This window comes from Homo sapiens, chromosome 19, assembly GCF_000001405.40.
Source record: "Homo sapiens chromosome 19, GRCh38.p14 Primary Assembly".
NCBI classification, from domain to species: Eukaryota; Metazoa; Chordata; class Mammalia; order Primates; family Hominidae; genus Homo; species Homo sapiens.
The window spans coordinates 48,125,816-48,144,173 of NC_000019.10; the positions used below are offsets into that span (position 1 = coordinate 48,125,816).

The 18,358-nt window shown below is 54.2% G+C and overlaps 1 protein-coding gene across 13 annotated transcripts in view; it reads right to left on the reverse strand.

Annotated features, from left to right (window-relative positions):
* Window positions 1-18,358, reverse strand: part of LIG1 (DNA ligase 1) — a 54,900-nt gene that overhangs the window by 10,371 nt on the left and 26,171 nt on the right. For 10 of the 13 annotated variants that reach the window (NR_135499.2, NR_135500.2, NR_110296.2 and 7 more), the window contains 12 exons: window positions 18,068-18,148; window positions 17,728-17,784; window positions 14,156-14,328; window positions 11,707-11,873; window positions 11,193-11,269; window positions 10,219-10,310; window positions 9,865-9,964; window positions 8,166-8,251; window positions 7,167-7,282; window positions 5,261-5,356; window positions 2,095-2,205; window positions 1,462-1,533 (listed from right to left, as the gene is read on the reverse strand). Coding sequence is in view for 7 of the 13 variants with exons in the window: in NM_001289063.2 (NP_001275992.1) it covers window positions 1,462-1,533; window positions 2,095-2,205; window positions 5,261-5,356; window positions 7,167-7,282; window positions 8,166-8,251; window positions 9,865-9,964; window positions 10,219-10,310; window positions 11,193-11,269; window positions 11,707-11,873; window positions 14,156-14,328; window positions 17,728-17,784; window positions 18,068-18,148 (1,228 nt within the window). In the remaining 6 variants the exon portion in view is untranslated. Of the gene's footprint in view, window positions 1-1,461; window positions 1,534-2,094; window positions 2,206-5,260; window positions 5,357-7,166; window positions 7,283-8,165; window positions 8,252-9,864; window positions 9,965-10,218; window positions 10,311-11,192; window positions 11,270-11,706; window positions 11,874-14,155; window positions 14,329-17,727; window positions 17,785-18,062; window positions 18,149-18,358 lie in introns of those variants that run through there. The other 3 variants (NR_135501.2, NR_135498.2, XM_047438834.1) reach the window with 3 other exon arrangements.

Here is an 18,358-nt window from a genome sequence, read left to right on the forward strand (position 1 = left end):
CGTCTCTACTAAAATACAAAAAATTCGCCAGGCGTGGTGGTGCACGCCTGTAATCCCAGCTACTCGGGAGGCTGAGGCAGGGGAATCGCTTGACCCCAGGAGGCGGAGGTTGCAGTGAGCTGAGATCATGCCACTGCACTCCAGCCTGGGCAACAGAGTGAGACTCCATCTCAAAAAAAAAAAAAAAAAAAGATTATCTGGGATATTGATGATTGCAGCTAATTTTTTTTGAGAGCTTCCATGTACTAACTACTGAGTTCCACACCCCTATCCCACTGTTTAGCCCTCACCCTAACAGATAAAGCACCTGCCACTGTTAGCTCCTTACTGTAGATCAAGAAACTGACACACAGAGAGGCTGAGTCATTCATCTGTAGCCATGCCGCTAGGAAGGTTAGGGCTGGGATATGACGGCATGTGGCCTGGCTCCAGATTCCTGACATCCTAAAGCAAGCTGTTCTCAAACTGTTGTCTTGAGGCCTCTTTAACACTCTTAAAAATTATTCAAGGCCAGGCGTGGTGGTTCACGCCTGTAATCCCAGCACTTCAGGAGGCCAAGGTGGGCAGATCACCTGAGGTCAAGAGTTCGAGACCAGCCTGGCCAACATGGTGAAACCCCGTCTCTACTAAAAATACAAAAATTAGCTGGACCTGGTGGTGCACATCTGTAATCCCAGCTACTTGGGAGGCTGAGGCAGGAGAATCACTTGAACCTGGGAGGAGGCAGTTGTAGTGAGCTGAGATCTCACCACTGCACTCCAGCCTGGGTGACTGAGCAAGACTCTTATCTCAAAAAAAAAAAAAAAAATTCAAGACTCACTCCATAGAGCTTGTTCATGTGGGTTACATAATATTATAGTTACACCTATTAGAAATTTAAAATGAGAAATTAAAAAAATAAATCCAATATGCTCACCCAAATAATATTAATTTTTTTTTTTTTTTTGAATAGACACAAGGTCTTTTCTATATTGCCCAGGCTGGTCTTGAACTACTGGGCTCAAGCGATCCTCCCACCTCCCAAAGTGCTCTGATTACAGGCGTGAACCACAGTGCCTGGCTCTAAATAACATATTTTGATGAAACATAACCCAAGTTTTGAGAAAGTGGTGAGACTAGAGGCATTATTTTACACTTTTGCAAATCCTCTAATATCTGGCTTAACAGAGGCTGGATTCTCCTGCGTGCTTCTACGACACACTCTTCTCGTTGCAGGACCTGAGGAAGATCCACCTCACGCCAATGTGGAGTTGGAAAGAGAGGGACCTTGAAGATGTCCTTGAAAGAATCTTAAGGAACCTCAGGGGTCCTCAGACCACACTTTGAGAACTGCTGCCCAAGTGTGGCTTCCTGGCCATGTGAAGTGGCAGAGTCGGAAATGGAAGTCAGAGGGGCAGCTGCCAGGCTCACACCCCACCCCGTCACCCCTCAGCTGCCCCTGGACAGGAAGCTGGAACTCACCTCTCCATTGAGGTAGATGAGGTCGAAGGCGTACAAACACACCTGCACCTGGATCTCAGACGCATCCACCTCCTGGGTTGGGGCACAACGGAGTTCGTGAGTGCAGGAAGGTGAGACGGGGCACTGTGCCTGAGGCCGACAGCATTCATCTACCGGTCTCCCTCTCGCCCCACCTAACTGGCTGCCCATCTGTGAGGGCGGCCATGCTGCTGGCTCCAGGTGCTGGATCGTTAACGGCTCTCAGCTAATTCCGACAACCTCATTCCCCTTCACCAGATATTTGCTCTCCTAGACTTTTCTGCAGCTAATGGCAGTGACATGGCACAGTTCTGGCCAATGAGATGGAAAAGGGGAAACCTGTGGGGTGCAGGTTGTGGGGTTTTCCAGAACAGATCTTCTTTCATAGTAAAACAACAGAGATGCCCGAAAAGGGCCCTTCCCCTCTTCCTACTTGGGATGCTGGGATGAGAATGCGATGGCTGGAGCTGTGGCAGCCATTCTGCAGAAGGCTGAGAGAAGTGCATCCAGACTGACACTCTGCCCTTCTGGGCACTGGGCAGGACCCACAGCCAGGACTGGGTGGAAGATGAGGAAGTACGGGGCCTTGGCAGGCAGTGGAGCGGGTGATGCTACCTTGCGTTTGCGGGTGGTGAGCACTTGGAATGGCTGGATCTGCTTCTTTTCCCGGTCCCAAGCCACGGCTTCGGTGTCCAGGATGAAGGATGTGACCGATGGGAGTTTAATCTGAAAAGTGAAGGGAGAGACCCAGGGCCTGAGAGAGGTGGAAGATGAGGTGGAAAGACAAACACGGGGAGATAAATTCCCTTTTCCTTCTGCAGCTCTCAAGATGCACTAACAAAGAGGCAGGTGCACACAGATGCTTTTCTTTTATTCCCCACCAAGAGGAGACAGAAACTAATGTCTCTGAGAATGTAATATTTGGTCTCACAAGCTGGAAACCTAGGAGCTCTTGTCATCTCCCTCCTCCTGTCACCCACATTCAGTTCCTCAGTGAACCTGATGATTTCCTAAGCCGTCCACTTCCCACCAACTCCCTGCTCAGCCTCGCCTACTGGGCTTCCCTGTCCTGCACCGATCCCCTCCAATCCAGCTTCCCCATAGCAGCCAGGGTGACACTGGCAAGCCCCAAATCCGATCACAGCACCTCCCTGCTAAAAACCATCCCCATGATTCCCCAAAGCTGGGGGGACTCTCCCGGGTCAGCCTGGGTCGTCCCTCGCCTCACCTGGCCCCCTGAGCCTCTCTTCACCCCAGCACGTGAGCCTCTCTGTTTCTCAAATAAGTGGGCAATGCCTCTTCCACTACTGGGCCTTTGCATGTGCCGTTCCCTCTAGAACCCCTGCCCCTGTCTGTCTCCTCCACTGGCAAGCCTTCTTTTCCCTCAAGGGAACACTGTTGCCCAAGCCGGGGGCAGCATTCATGTTGTATCCTGGAGCCAGGTAGCTTCCCTGACACCAAGTCTAAGCCACACCTATTTCTTTTTGAGTCAGAGTCTAGCTCTGTCGCCCAGGCTGCAGTGCAGTGGTGCGATCTTGGCTCACTGCAACCTCTGCCTCCCAGGCTCAAGCAATTCTCCTGCCTCAGCCTCCCGAGTAGCTGGGATTACAGGCACATGCCACCATGCCTGGATAAATTTTGTATTTTAGTAGAAACGGTTTCACCATGTTGGCCAGGCTGGTCTCGAACTCCTGACCGCAAGTGATCTGCCTGCTTTGGCCTCCCAAAGTGCTGGGATTATAGGCGTGAGCCACCACGCCTGGCCTCTTTTCTTTTTTGAGACAGTCTCCCACTGTTGTCCAGCCTGGCGTGCAGTGGTGCAATCTCCGCTCAGTGCAGCCTCTGCCTCCCACGTTCAAGTGATTCTCCTGCCTCAGCCTCCCAAGTAGCTGGGACTACAAGAGCACGCCACCACATCCAGCTAATTTCTGTATTTTTAGTAGTCAGGGTTTCACCATGTTGGCCAGGCTGGTCTCGAACTCCTAACCTCAAGTGATTCACCCGCCTTGCCCTCCCAAAGTGCTGGGATTACAGGAGCCACTGTCACCGGCCAGGCCTGTTTGTTACATAGGCTCACAGAATGCTGGTCCTTTCCTGTGGAGCCCGGATCTCCACATATAATTTACAGAGCCAGCTGCAGGACTCTCTGGTGAAGGTCTGCCTGCTCTGCTGGGCTGTGAGCTCAGTGAGGGCAGAGACCATGGCAGGCCTGTTACACTCCCAGCCTCCAGCATGGGGCCTAGCTCGGAGCAGATGCCCAGTAAATACTTGCTGAACGAATGAGCAAAAGCAGCCAGATGCAAGAGACTAGTGCCATATTATACCACCAACAGGAAGCTCTAGAACAGGTAAAACCAACCTGTGGCGACCAAAAAGCAGACCTGGGGTTGCCTCTGGTGGATGCATGGTGTTGGACAGAGGAGGGGGCCTTGCTTGGCCAGGGACACAAGGAAATATTTGATTTTTTATTTTTATTTTTTTGAGATGGAGTCTTACTGTCACCCAGGCTAGAGTACAGTGGCCCGATCTCAGCTCACTGCAACCTCCGCCTCCTGGGTACAAACGATTCTCGTGCCTCAGCCTCCCAAGTAGCTGGGACTACAGGTGCGTGCCACCACACCCAGCTAATTTTTGTATTTTTAGTAGAGATGGGATTTCACCATGTCAGCCAGGCTGGTCTTGAACTCCTGACCTCAGGTGATCCACCCGCCTCAGCCTCCCAAAGTGCTGGGATTACAGGCGTGGGCCACTGCGCCCAGCGGAAATATGTTAGAATGATGAGAATGTGGAAATATTTTATACATTCATTGGGGTGTCGGTTACTTGGGTGTATGAACTTTTCAAAACTCATCAAACAGCATAGTGCACACTGAAAATCACTAACTTTTAGGGAAATTACATCTTAAGAAAATTGATTTAAAGAACAGTGCTTGGCACGGAACAGGAGCTCCCCTAACACGTGCACTGAACTGTGCCTCTCTCTGTCACTGTCTCTAACAGGCAGAATGATGGGCACCGTGCCCCCTGCTTTCTTAAATAACTTATTTCCTATTTAATTAGGGGCAGGCAAAGAGAAAGGCTCTTTGATAGGGGACTCCTCGAACAGGCACGAGACCCCTACTGGGTGCAGAGAAGTCCCCAACTCTGGGGCCTGTGAGGCCCAGCCCTGTATGACTCTGAGCTGCTATTTCTGAGGCTTGGGGCCTATCCACAGGCTGGCCCCCTCCAAACTCGTCCTGACTCCTCCTCCCCGCGTTCCTGGCTGGAGAGGCTGCAGAGTTAGACTCTGGCTTTCCGAGGCTTTGTTGCACTAGGGTGGCCATGGAACCCAGTGCTGGACAGTGACTCCCAGCTGCAGTCCACGGCGGGGGAGGGGTTGTGGGTGGGAGGTGTCCAGGAAAGTGTTAACTCAAGCTAGAATCCCTTTTCCCTCTTTCTGTCTGGAAGAATGACATCTGTTTGGGAAACTCTAAGGGGACAAGCATTGGCACTAAAAGCCAACCAGCCAAGGACAGCAGGGGATAGAGGTAGCGATAAGCTTGGTTCAGGGGGACATCAGTGCTCAGCCAAGTCGGTGCTGGGGTGCCCACCTCTAGATGTGAGAAAAAATCATATGGGCTTACACCACGCAGGACTGAGTGCTCTGTCATTTGCAGCCAAACGCAACCTGATCTCCTCCCAATAAACCCCGCACTGTGCCACACTGGCCTAGATGGGCCTCAGGCCTTTGCACCCCTGACCACAGACCCTGGCAGAGTGCAAGTGTGTGGCAGACGCCCACCTTGGGGATGCGGCTGATGATGTCCGGGTACTTCCCAGTGTTGTCTTCCTGATTCCTGCTGAAGATCTTCACCTCCCCGCCTTCCAGGGCGTGGATCTGTCACGATGGGAGAAGGGAGGGGAAATCAGCTGAGTCCCCTCATGTGGCCTCAGCTTTCTCTTCTGACCCCACCTGCACTGGTAGAAGGTTCTGGAAGCTCTGGAGGAGGAACTGGTGCAGAGACTTGAGCGAATCATCTCCTCAGTTCCAACAGCACCTCCCAGCCCTGCTCTGGAAGGCCCTACCATCATTTTCTTCTTCATTTCCAATCCCTACACCTCTCCCCATGTAGGCACATGCACCTTGCTGCATGTGGGTGCTGATTTGTTTAAATGTCATTATGCTCTAGATCTCATTCTGATTTTTTTTTGAGGCGGAGTCTCGCCCAGGCTGGAGAGCAGTGGTGCAATCTCTGCTCAATGCAACCTCCACCTCCCGGGTTCAAGAGAGCCTTCCGCCTCAGCCTCCCAAGGAGCTGGGATTACAGGCGCCCACCACCACACCTGGCTAATTTTTGTATTTTTAGTAGAGCCAGGCTGGTCTTGAACTTTCGACCTCAGGTGATCCGCCCACCTTAGCCTCCCAAAGTGCTGGGATTACAGGCGTGAGCCACTGCGCCCAGCCTCTATGTCTATTTATTTTAAGACAGTCCGGTCACAGCCCTTGAGCAGGGCGGCATATATAGCATCTTATATGTTTGTTATTATTTCCAGGAACAGTTGTCAAGAAATCATTGTCACTATCGTAAATCATCTTGTGTCTTTTTTCTCAACACTATTTTGGAGATCCATCTCTGATCCTGTGTCTGTTGGATCCACCCTTTTTTTTTTTTTTTTTTTAAAAGATGGAGTCTCACTCTTATCGTGGAGGCTGTAGTGTAGTGGCACGATCTTGGCTCACTGCACCCTCTGCCTCCTGGGTTCAAGCAATTCTCCTGCCTCAGCCTCCCGAGTAGCTGGGACTACAGGCACACGCCACCACACTGGCTCATTTTTGTGGTTTTAGTAGAGATGGGGTTTCACCATGTTGGCCAGGCTGGTCTCCTCAGGGGTCCACTTCCTGTAACTGCCCCGAGCCCTGTGGCTCCCACCCACTTTGCCTGCTTACCTATCCCCAGGTGAGAAGGCCCCACACTTGCCAGGACAGAAGAGACACAACACATTCTTACAGACCCCAGGACCAAGGACGCCTGAGGCCCTGGATCACAGGACACACATGCACGTCACGGCATGAAGGGGTCATGTAGGCACCTCCCAGAACGGCTGTTAAAATGAACACACCCACCAGCAGCATCAGCGGAGCCCACGTTTCATGAGCTCCCACTATCATCGGTCAGGACTCTGGAGGATTGTAGCTTCGGATAAGCTGGTGAGGTAGTTAAGACCACACCCTAGAGGCCAGGCACGATGGTTCATGCCTGTAATCCCAGCACTTTGGGAGGCTGAGGTGGGTGGATCATGAGGTCAAGAGATCGAGACCATCTTGGCCAACATGGTGAAACCTCGTCTCTACTAAAAATACAAAAAATTAGCCGGGCACGGTAGCGGGCGCCTGTAGTCCCAGCTACTTGGGAGGCTGAGGCAGGAGAATCACTTGAAGCCAGGAGGTGGAGGTTACAGTGAGCCAAGATCATGCCAATGCACTCCAGCCTGGATGACAGAGTGAGACTCTGTCTCAAAAAAAAAAAAAAAAAAAAAAAAAAAGAACACACTCACTGCATGGAGGTGGATGCTGAAGCCCAGAGAGATGAGCGAGGGCTCGGCAGTCTGTGGCGCAGGCCGGCTTGAAGCTCAGGCCTCAGTGACCCCACACCCCTGCTCTTTGACGTTTTCCTGTCTGTGGAAGGGACATGTCCCACTCCCCATACCTGTGCCCTCTGCCCGTCATATTTGTATTCGCAGGTGAAAGCTGCCTCCTCAAAGCGTTTCAGGACCTCGCTGATGCCCCGGGTGGGATGGGCCAACATTGGTTTCAGGGGAATCCCTGGGAAAGGAGGAGAGTGAGTTAGAGGAGAGGGAAGGCAATGGATTAGAGGGGGAACATGGAGAGGAGAACTGCTAATGGGCCCCAGGACCATTCTGCTTTCTTGCTATTCAGTCACGAAGCCTCCCACGTTTTAGAAGGGGACCTAGCCTCCCACTGGGGACTACAGCCCCCGGCCTTCCTTCCAGGTGGGAAAGGCCATGTGATTGGAACCCACGCAGCATGTGCAATGTCTGGCTCACATCCTTGCAAGGAATCTGGTTGCCTCCCCTCCCTCCTCTGCGTCCCTCCTCCCACAATTAGAACAGGGAAGTGAGCCACATTTGATCACAGACATTGGGGTGACAACCTTTGGAGGGCAGAGGGACACAGGAACCTGGGTCCCCGGGTCATCCCTGGGACACAGCTGCACACCTGTACCTTCCCTGGCCACCTCCCTTGCTCTGGACACTTCTGTGTGACAGAAAGAAATTCTATCTGGCCTGACCCACTGCCTTCTGGCCCATTTTTATTTACTTATTTATTGTCTCACTCTGTCGCCCAGCTGGAGTGCAGTAGCGCGATGACGGCTCACTGCAGCCTTGAACTCCTGGGCTCAAGCGATCCTCCCACCTCAGCCTCCCGAGTAGCTGGGATCACAGGCACACGCCACCACGCCCGGCTCCTGTTTATCACAGCAGTGTCACCTACACCCTATCTACTCCACAAGGGGAAATTCCAAGGAGAAAAGCAGTGGGTTTCAGCACCAGGGAGGAGCATTTGGTTTTGGTGGGGGAGAGGACTCTGCAAGTTCTGAGAGGGGCGCCTACGATGGCCACCCTCACGCCGACTCAGGAGGGAGCAGGGCTGCTGCCAGGCTGGTGAGCGCCCCTGGGGCCTGTACCTGGGCTCAGCTTGCAGTGCTCCGGGAGACGTTCCAGGCCGTGCTCCAGCAGCACGGGGATAATTCGGTCCAGGTCGGGAACCTCGCTGGGGTGGCGGGTGAGAACAAGATAGGGGAAGCCTTTCTAGAACTCACACAGTTTGGAAAGAGAGCTCGGCCTGCTCCCAGAAGCCTGGGCTCCTGGATGCCTCTGCCCACTGAGTCACCACCTGCCAAGCTCCTCTTGCCACCCTGTCTCTGTGCTCTCCCTTCGTGTCACTATCTGTTGCTTTGTCTCCCTTAGTCTGGCCTTGCCCCTGTTCCCTATCTGTCACCACGAGACCAGCGATTCTCTACTCGGCTACACAGGAGACCACTCAAGAATACAGTTTTTAAAAAAAGGTTTTTGGCCGGGCATGGTGGCTCATGCCTACAGGCATGTAATCCCAGCACTTTGGGAGGCCGAGGTGGGTGCATCACTTGAGCCCAGGAGTTCAAGACCAGCCTAGCCAACATGGTGAAATCCCATCTTTACTAAAAATATAAAAGTTAGCTGGGGGTGGTGGCACGCGCCTGTAGTCCCAGCTACTCAGGAGACTGAGGCAGGAGAATCACTTGAACCCTGGAGGCGGAAGTTGCAGTGAGCTGAGATTGTGCTGCTGCACTCCAGCCTGGATGACAGGGCGAGACTCCGTCTCAAACAAAATAAAAATAGACAAAGGTTTTCAAGGCTAGGTTCCACCTACAAAGATTTTGATGTAGCTGGTGTGGGGTAGGCCTGAGGTCAGCAGCTGATAGAGCCCCACGTGCAGGCAGAGTTGAGCTTGCTGCCCGGGCCTGTTCACCACTCTCTGCTCAGCACCCAGTGGGGGGCCCTGGCCCAGAGCAGGTGCTCTGAGGCCATCTGTGGAACTGCCATCGGCCCTCCTGCCTCTGACATCCTCTCTGGGGCAGTCATGATCTTGGAGTCACCAGCCCTGGGTCAGCTGCTGGCCTAGGTCCCTCCACATGGCTCTCTCTGGAGCCCTCGTGGCCGCTCCACGGATGTCCTCTCCATGACTGTCAAGACCCTTCACCATGTGTCAGTCACCTGCTCCTCTCTGGGTCCCTTAAGGCCTTTCTGCATGCACAGCCCTGTCTGGCACTCAGAAACCTCATGTTGCCGGCTGCCCTCCCTTGCTGTCAGCGTCTTTCTTTTTTTTAAGACAGTCTCACTCTGTTGCCCAGGCTGGAACGCAGTGGCGTGATCTCAGCTCACTGCAGCCTCCAACTCCTGGGTTCAAATGATTCTTGTGCCTCAGTTTCCCAAGTAGCTGGGATTACAGGCTAATTTTTGTATTTTTAGTAGAGACAGGGTTTCACCATGTTGGCCAGGCTGGTCTCAAACTCCTGACCTCAAGTGATCTGCCTGCTTCAGGCTCCCAAGTGCTGGGATTACAGGCGTGAGCCACTGTGCCTGGCCGCTGCCAGCGTCTTTCTATACCTCTCCTGGGGTCACTGACCCTTCACTGTTTGCCACCTTCCTGATCTTTGTCACCATCCTTGTGTCAAGCACCAGCCTTGTCTAGATCACCACCTCTGCTCTCAGTCACCCCGTGACCGGCACTCGTGATGCCTGTCCGTCACTTCACTGGCCCCACCCACTGCTCCTCTGGCTCCACCCCCACCCTGGCACTCTGCCCACAGCCCCTGGCAACTCCACCCACTGCCCAGCTCTCACCAGAACGTCTGCTTCAGGATCATGCCTTGCTCCTCCAGCCACGTCTTTCTGGCCTCTGCTGTCTTGCCCTTCCCAGCATCCACCATGGCTGGTGGGAATTCTAAGAAAAGACCCACCAGAGGCTTTGGAAGGCACCCACATCCTTGGCTACACCAGGGTGCAGTGGGTGGTTTGCTGTATGGCAAGGAATGCAGATGCCGCGGCCCAAGACGCCCCCTCCCCCCCACCCAGGAGAGAGGAGCCTGGTATGGCAGGGGCCCGCTGGGGAAGGGGCGGGCATGGGCCTCTGAAGAGGAGGGGGGAAGCCTGAGGTAACTCCAGCGAGGGATGCAGAGACGGGCCACAGGAGCTCACCTTGGCCCGGGGGCGTGAGGCTCACTGCCTGGGAGAGGGCAGCCAGCACCGACTGCTCTGCCAGCCCAAGGCGCAGCCGTCCGCTCAGGGACCTGGGGAGAGAGCAGGCCAGGGAAGGGGGCTTGTCTGCACCTCCCCAATCTTGCCTCCTCCCTTCTCTGATCTCCTCGACCTTGATGTATGTAGACCCTCTCCTCAAAAACCAGAAGAATCTTCAGAGCCTGGAAGGGACCCCAGATATCACACAGCCCCATGTGACAGATGAGGAAACTGAGCCAGGCAGTAATGATCCTGCCCACTAGCATAGACTGGGGAGGGGCACAAGTAGGTGCACCAGCACCTCCCATCTCAGCTGCCCTGAGGGGTTGGCGAGGCTTGAGGAGGATGAGTCAGGGAGAGAACTGAGCCTGGCGCCCGCCCTGGTGACTGTAATGGTCAGGACCCCAGCATGGTCCTTGCTTTGAGCCAGTGGCAGGAGACAAGTGGCTTAGTTTGCCTCCCCATGTCTCCATTTCCCCTTCTATAAACTGGAGGTGAGGGTAACAAGACCAGTCTCACAGAGTTGCTGGTAGGAACTGATGAGGTAAGGCACGGGGCACAGGGCAGGGCTCCCAAGAAATGCTCCATGATGTGAGCCCTCAATGGATTTGCTCTCACTGTCATGGCAAACAAACCCTGGCTTCCTGCTGCAGGGCCCGCGCCCAAGCCGAGGCAGACCTCACCAATCAATCACAGCATGCTTCACCCACAGGGGCCCAGGGGCCTTCTCTAGACAGCACTACCAAGGGACAGAAGCTGGCCTGTGAAAGGAAATGGTGTCCCTTCCCACTCTTTAGGGGCTGGGCCTCCTGCTCATGCTTTTCTCATCCAAGGATGGTCAGGGCATTTGTGATGATTCCAGCTGCCAGTCCCTCCCTCCTTTCACCTCCGAGCCTGCAGTCCCCCTCTGTAGCCTCACAGGCCCACACGCTTACCTAGCGATGAACCGGGCTTCTGAGTGGCGGCAGGCCACAAAGAGGCCTTTGATGATGTCTATCTTCTTGGCTGTGGACTGGAGAGTCAGGGGAAGAGCCGTCAGTGCCTGGTGAAGGCAGGGACCACACCTCCACCCCACCAGCCGTGCTGCTGCCCTGCATTTTGGAATACCTGCCCTCCTTCCCTCACCCCATCCCCATGTCCCAGCTCCCATGGCCGCCCACTCTTAGGGCAGTAAGAACGAGCTAGCTCTCCTCCTTGCCTCCCTCTCCCTTTATCCAGGAAGTATTTACTGAGTCCTGTCATGTGGCAGCCATGGCATTAGGTCTGCTAGACTCTGAAGAGGAGACTCCCCTAGGATTGGGTGCAGGAAGGAGGAGAGGAAGCTGTGCACCCCATGAGAAGGACTGATGCGACCCAGCTGATGGTCTACCCAGAAGCCTTCCTGACACACGCGTGGCCTCAGGTCCCCAAGATGTCTGGGGTCCGGGATGAGCGGCCCGCCCCACTCACAGCACTGCCAGTGAGCCTGGCGATGTCGCGGAACTTGCTGAAGACCCCGGAGGCAGTGAGCGGAGGTGGTGGCAGCATGAGCCTCTGGGTGCTGCGGCTGTTCTCGGCCACCAGCCCCACGTCGCCTTTCTCGGCTGCCTCAGCCCGGACGGACTCCAGCTGCCGACCTTCAGGGGAGAGCGCGGGTGGGGGTGTCGAGGGTGACAGTTGTGGCTGCGTGTCTCCCTTCTCTCGCGGCCTGGATGAATTTTCTCCAGCTGTGTGTGCTTGTGGCGAGTCCCTGCACCTCCCTGTGTCTAACGCTCACCCACTTGGTAGAAATGGCTTGGGGAACGTGCCCCCAGCCACGCTGGCTGTAGGAAGTCAGCAAACATGCACGTGGAGCCAGGAAAGCGGTGGATGAACGAGCATGACCACACTCAGGGGAGACATCTGGGCCGGTGTCATCAGGGCGCGGATGGGATTTAAAGCCACAGGCGGGACAAGGTCACTAGGGAAGTGAGTGTGGACAGAGCAGAGAAGGCCAAGGGACCCTTTCCTCTGGCGGGTCATGAACATCTCTGGCAGTGACCAAAGACCCTTCGGCTTGTTTTGGAGCCACCAGCTTACACACGTGGGATGTGCTCTGGCCCCACTTACTGTCCAGAGCTGGGTCCCATGGGCGCCTGGGTGTAAGAGCTGGGGAGATGGAGCCTCAAGTCACGGTGACAGCTGTGACAAGCAGCTCTCAACCTATCAGAACCAACACACCCTTGTCACCAGATACTGTGTGTCACCTCTTTTCTGGTCTGAAATAAAATGTGGAGATAACATAACCTGCCTACACCTATCGAGATAACGCCCTAACCCTAACACAGAAAAGAATGAAAGGGAAAGCAATCCGTAATGAACGAACAAGTGCGCGTTTCAGTCCACAGATGCTCAGCCGCGGCACAGAGCACATGAAGGTGGGCCTCGCGCCTGAAGCGAAACTGCCACAAATGGGAGAGCCGACAGTGTGAGCCTCACCAATGGGATGTTATCGAATCACACATCAAAGGGGACGGGATTCTCCAAAGTGGCCAACAACTCACAACAAACCCGGGACTTGGACAGCCACGGGGGCCACAAGGCGGCACGGAGAGCAGTGTGAGTGTGAACACGACCCATCAAGGGTGGAGGCATGAGACAGTGGAAGAGGCCCCAGCTGCCATGGATTGTTGGGCAGGAAAGCCAGCATCTGCAACTTCTTTTGTGAGAAAAACAGATCCTTCTTTGTCCAAGCCAATGTAGTTGGGTTTTCTGTTACCTGCAGCTCAGAGTATTCTTAACCGACCCCGTGTGTGCTGGGTCTGGTATGACGTCAGTGCTCCCGAAACACATCTTGAGTGAATGAGTGAGAAAATCTTGAGTCTCATCTCCTCTGGCTCCCATAAGCCCGTAACTCTTTCCTGATCCAAGTCAACCTTTCTCAGTCCCTCTGTCCTCTCATGAAAGCCTGAAACCCCTGCCTTCCCTAAATGTTGGTGCCCATGGCCCTAAGCCAGCTCCAGTGCTCCCAGCACATCCTCTCCCCAGGCGGATGAGAACCCACCAGTGGGTGGTCATCCCTCCTACACTGACCAGCCCGAACCCTGGGCTCTGAGCCAGACCTGGTGAGCCTCAGACCCGTTTCCAAACTTCCTGGATGGCCCTGGGGGCCCACAGATAGAGGTTGCTCATGCCTGCCCCACGCTGGGGTGATTAATGCCCCCTGCAGGTGCCTGCCCCTCACCAGGGTCCCAAGCTGCCGACGGCTTTGTCATCCATCCAGTCACCCAGGGAGATCCTGGAGGCATTCCTCCTGCCTCCTCACCCTGACATCCACTGTCTGCCAGATCTCTCCTGCCCTCTTCTCTCTTCTCTACAGCTGGGGTCCAGCTCCTCTTCCCCCTGGATGCTGCCCCTTGCCTGCTCACAATCCTTCCATGGCTCCCCAGTGTCCTCATGATAAGCACCGAGCACTCCAGGCCCTTGGCAGGCGGGCCATCCGCATCACCAGCCTTTCCACCCAGCACTGGCGGCTGGGCCCCTTCAGGCTGCTGGCCCCCCACACACCATGTTCTTTCCTCCCACTCCTTCCAATCCCTCCAGTCAAAGTCCTTTCAGACCTCTCTAAGCCCCAACCTTCCATCTCAGCCCCCAAATCCTGCTGTCTCTGCCTCCAGCATCTTTCCCCAGCCCTCCCCTTCCCTGCACCCCACACCCCCTGTCCCAGCACATGCCTGGTCCTCCCTCACCTGAACTGCTGCCCCTGTGTTCTCTCCCACACCCCTGCAAATCTGTCCCCATCAGGCTCTCCTCCCTCTCAGCCTTCTCCTCAACCCTGTTTCACAGCCTCTCTCCACCATCTCTCCGATCCACCTGACCTCTGCATTTTCTCTGGCTGAGCTCCTGTCCTTCTGGTCCCTCCAACCACAGTCCCCCTTACCTGTGGCCTGGGCCACTGCCTTGAGAAGGACACCATCACCCACGCCAAGCTCCAGGCCCTGCTGGGGTGGCCCAAGGTGGTTGAGGCTGAGGTAGAGGACAGGGAGGAGGTCTGGAGGCGACAGGGCCACCACGGAGCGCAGCAAGTTGCTCAGCGTCTCCACCATCCGGAGCCTGGAGGAGGGGACGGGGGTATGAACACGTGGTTCCTCAAGGTCAAAGTGTGGTGTCGGGGTGGGGTGGGTTTAAGGGGGTGGACACTAGAAAGAAATGGAGAAAGAAGAGGAAAGGGCTCAGAACAGTCCCAGGCTCTGGGGCCTGGAGCCATGAGGACAATCACAGATTGCTGGAGGTGAAACCGCCTTTGCAAAACCGTAACTGAGGAAATTATGACAGTGGAAAGAAATCACACCTAACCGATTCCATCTTGCTTCTAACCTTTAAGCTGTCCTTGTTCAGTCCTGGGCATAGGCAGAACTAACTTTGGGAAGGAATTTGGTTCGTGGCTTGACTCTGAAACGAAATTGGTAATAGCCCTTTCTGGAAAAGACCCCTTTTTGCCTAAGGACCTGCCTTCGCAAGACTCACAAATTAGCTACAAGATTAGAAATTTAGGTTTAGGGGTCACGCAGCCTCTGGCTTCCCCGATTGCTCCTGGGGATAACATCACTACTGTAAAACCTAAGATGAGTGCTTAAGATAGTTTGCAGACCCTGCACTCAGTCTGACGCCACCCAGACTGTAATCTGGCTCAACAAGTTCTGCCATCCCACCCAGGAACAGAAGACAGCAAGAAAACCTCCCTTCGACCCCCTGTGAGTCCATCTTCAACCTGACCAATCAGCACTCCCCACTTACCAAGCCCCTACACGCCAAATTATCTTTAAAAACTCTGCTCCCCACATGCTCAGGGAGACTGATTTGAGTAAAAATGAAACTCCGGTCTCCCGCACAGCCAGCTCTGCGGGAATGACTCTTTCTCCACTGCAGTTCCCCCGTCTAGATAAATCGGCTCTGTCTAGGCAGCGGGCAAGGTGAACCCACCGGACGGTTACAGTGGGGGAGTAACTTGGTGTGACGGTAACAATGATGAAGATGGTGATGATCAGCCCAGAGAAACGACAGCTGATGCTACGGAGCATTTTCTAAATTCAGGAGCTGGCTTTGAGCACTTTGCACCTTTTTTTTGAGACGGAGTCTCGCTCCATCGCCCAAGGTAGAGTGCAGTGGCACGATCTCGGCTCGCTGCAACCTCCACCTTGTGGGTTCAGGTGATTCTCCTCCGGAGTAGCCGGGACTACCGGTGCGCACCACCATGCCCGGCTAATTTTTTTTAATTTTTAGTAGAGACGGGGTTTCAACGTGTTGGTCAGGCTGGTCTCGAACTCCTGACCTCAAATGATCCGCCCGCCTCGGCCTCCCAAAGTGCTGGGATTACAGGCGTGAGCCAACACGGCCAGCCCTTTGCACCTTTTAACTCATAGAATCTTCACAGCTCCCCTCTGAGGTAGGTACCATTATTATTTCCATTTTACGGATAAAGAAACAGAGGCACCGAAAGAGTCCGTGGCTTGCCCAAGGTCACAGAGCGAGTAAGTATGAAGCTGAGATGTACACCAAGGCCGTGTGCCTGAGGACTGTGCTCCCAGCCACCAAGCTGCACCACCTCTAAAACGAAAACCGTGTTTCTGTCTAAAACTTCAAAGCTGGAAAGAATGGCTTTGTTACTGAAAAACTTAGGGGGCCTCATTAGAAACAGAAGCTGGGTTTTTCCTACAGAAGTCTCATTACCGAGGTTTTTAAGGTGCAGAGAAGAAATACAAAAACCAACATCAGGGAAATCCCTCAGTAATCATTGTAGGCAAAAGCCACCATTGGATGGTGCAGTGGATGGAACAGCCCCCCCAAAATTCAGGTCCACTCAGAGCCTCACAACATGACCTCATTTGGAAAGAAGGTCTTTGCGGATGTACCTGTAGATTAAGATGAGAGCATAGTGAATGAAGGTAGGCTCTGAATCCAAAAAGCATCCTTACAAAATACAGAAGAGGGCCGGGTGTGGTGGCTCAGGCCTGTAATCCCAGCATTTTGGGAGGCCGAGGCGGGCCGATCACTTGAGGTCAGGAGTTCAAGACCAGCCTGGCCAACATAGTGAAACCCCATCTCTATTACAAATACAAAATTAGGGCCGGGCGCGGTGGCTCACACCTGTAATCCCAGCACTTTGGGAGGCGGAGGTGGGCGGATCACGAGGTCAGGAGATCAAGATCTTCCTGGCTAACACAGTGAAACCCCATCTCTACTAAAAACACACACACAAAAAATTAGTTGGGCATGGTGGCAGGTGCCTGTAGTCCCAGCTACTCGGGAGGCTGAGGCAGGAGAATGGTGTGAACCTGGGAGGCGGAGCTGCAAGTGAGCCGAGATTGCGCCACTGCACTCCAGCCTGGGCAACAGAGCAAGACTCCATCTCAAAAAAAAAAAAAAACAGAGTGCTGGGAACAGCCTGAAATGCTCCACTCATGTTGGGGAACTGAGAAATGGCATGTGCCATGTGAGAACGAAGGGACACTACAGAGCAGTCACAACAGGCTCGAACCACTCAACCAACATGGACACATGTGGAAACGGGTTTGATAGTGAAGGCAAGCAGAATGAGCCGTACCCATGATAATTTTGTTTGTTTGTTTTTGAGACAGAGTCTCACTCTGTCACCCAGGCTGGAGTGTAATAGCGTGATCTCGGCTCACTGCAATCTCTGCCTCCTGGGTTCAAGTGATTCTCGTACCTCAGCCTCCTGAGTAGCCGGGATTACAGGCACCCGCCACCATGCTGGGCTAATTTTGTGTTTTTAGTAGAGATGGGGTTTCACCATGTTGGCCAGGCTGGTCTTGAACTCCTGACCTCAGGTGATCCACCCACCTTGGCCTCCCGATGTGCTGGAATTAAGGCATGAGCCACTGCACCCAGCCTCCATGATAATATTTATATAAACTAAATACACAGGGGCGAGTGCTGGGGGTGAGGAGGACAAGGAGAGAAGAGGAAATGGGGACAGAGAAGGGGGCTGGCAGGGACCAGCGATGCTAACATGCTGCTGAGAAGGACCAGGGTGGGGCAGTGCTATGCACTGGGCATCACTGGGGTGGGACGCTCTGCAGGGAACCTCTGTGAATGAGTAGGGGGTCCTCGCTATAACTGAGACCTCACCTTCTTTTGTGAATATGGAGACATGTAAGCAAGACTGAAGTCACTTTTGATGACTCAGGGTGGACTAGAAGTAATCACGGACTGTGTGCAATGGTGCCAGTCATCCCGAGATGGAGCCTGTCTCCTTACCCTGCACATCTGGGCTCGCCCCTTGTGTCTTGCTCTGACCATGAGAATGAGGCAGAAAGTCAAGAGGACCTGCAGCCGCTTTTGTGACCATGTCTGACATCCATGATCATACGCCCGAGCGGGGTCAGAGGCCAAGTTGACAGGGTTTGGCGGAACAAGGCAGCACAGACCGCCATGCAGAGGACAGACCCAGAAGCGACCCCGCCCCCCACCCAGGCAGTCCTCATTAGTTACCGAGCAGACACCTCCTCGATCTTCTCAAACGTCCGGGCCACAGCCAGGTAAGGAACCCTAGGGAAGGAAAAGAGACGCAAGAGTGACAGTGGTGCAGGCTATACCATGCTGCCCGTCTGCACCCTTGCTTCCTCACGCCTCCTCGGGACACCCTTGCCAATACCCAAATGCATGAGCTCACTTCCCAGGGCTGTCTCTCTGTCCCTTTCAATGCTGCTGATTGTCGCCAAAACACAGGAGGGAGAGACTTGACCATTTCTCCCAACCAAGACTCTGCTTAGAGAGCCTCCGGTGGCAACAGGGACCGGAGGGGGACAGTCTGAAAAGGGAGAAACCTCACTTCTGGCCCGGTTTCCAGCAGGCATCTTCCACGGGATGATAGTTGTTCTTGGCAGGATTGTAACCAGATGGATCCAGGGGTCTACGGAGGCAAAACGGAGATTGAATTGCATAGAGCCCTGGGTCAAAGCAAAGTCATTCCTTCCAACTGTGATGTGCCAGGCTCTGTTCAAGGCACACGGTGCAGAGCTGGATGAAAACAAAGTTTGCTAACCTGGAGCTCACATTCCAGCAGGAGAGTCAGAGGAAAGTGGGCAAAAAGCCCCCACATAAACACATCATTAATTTTAGG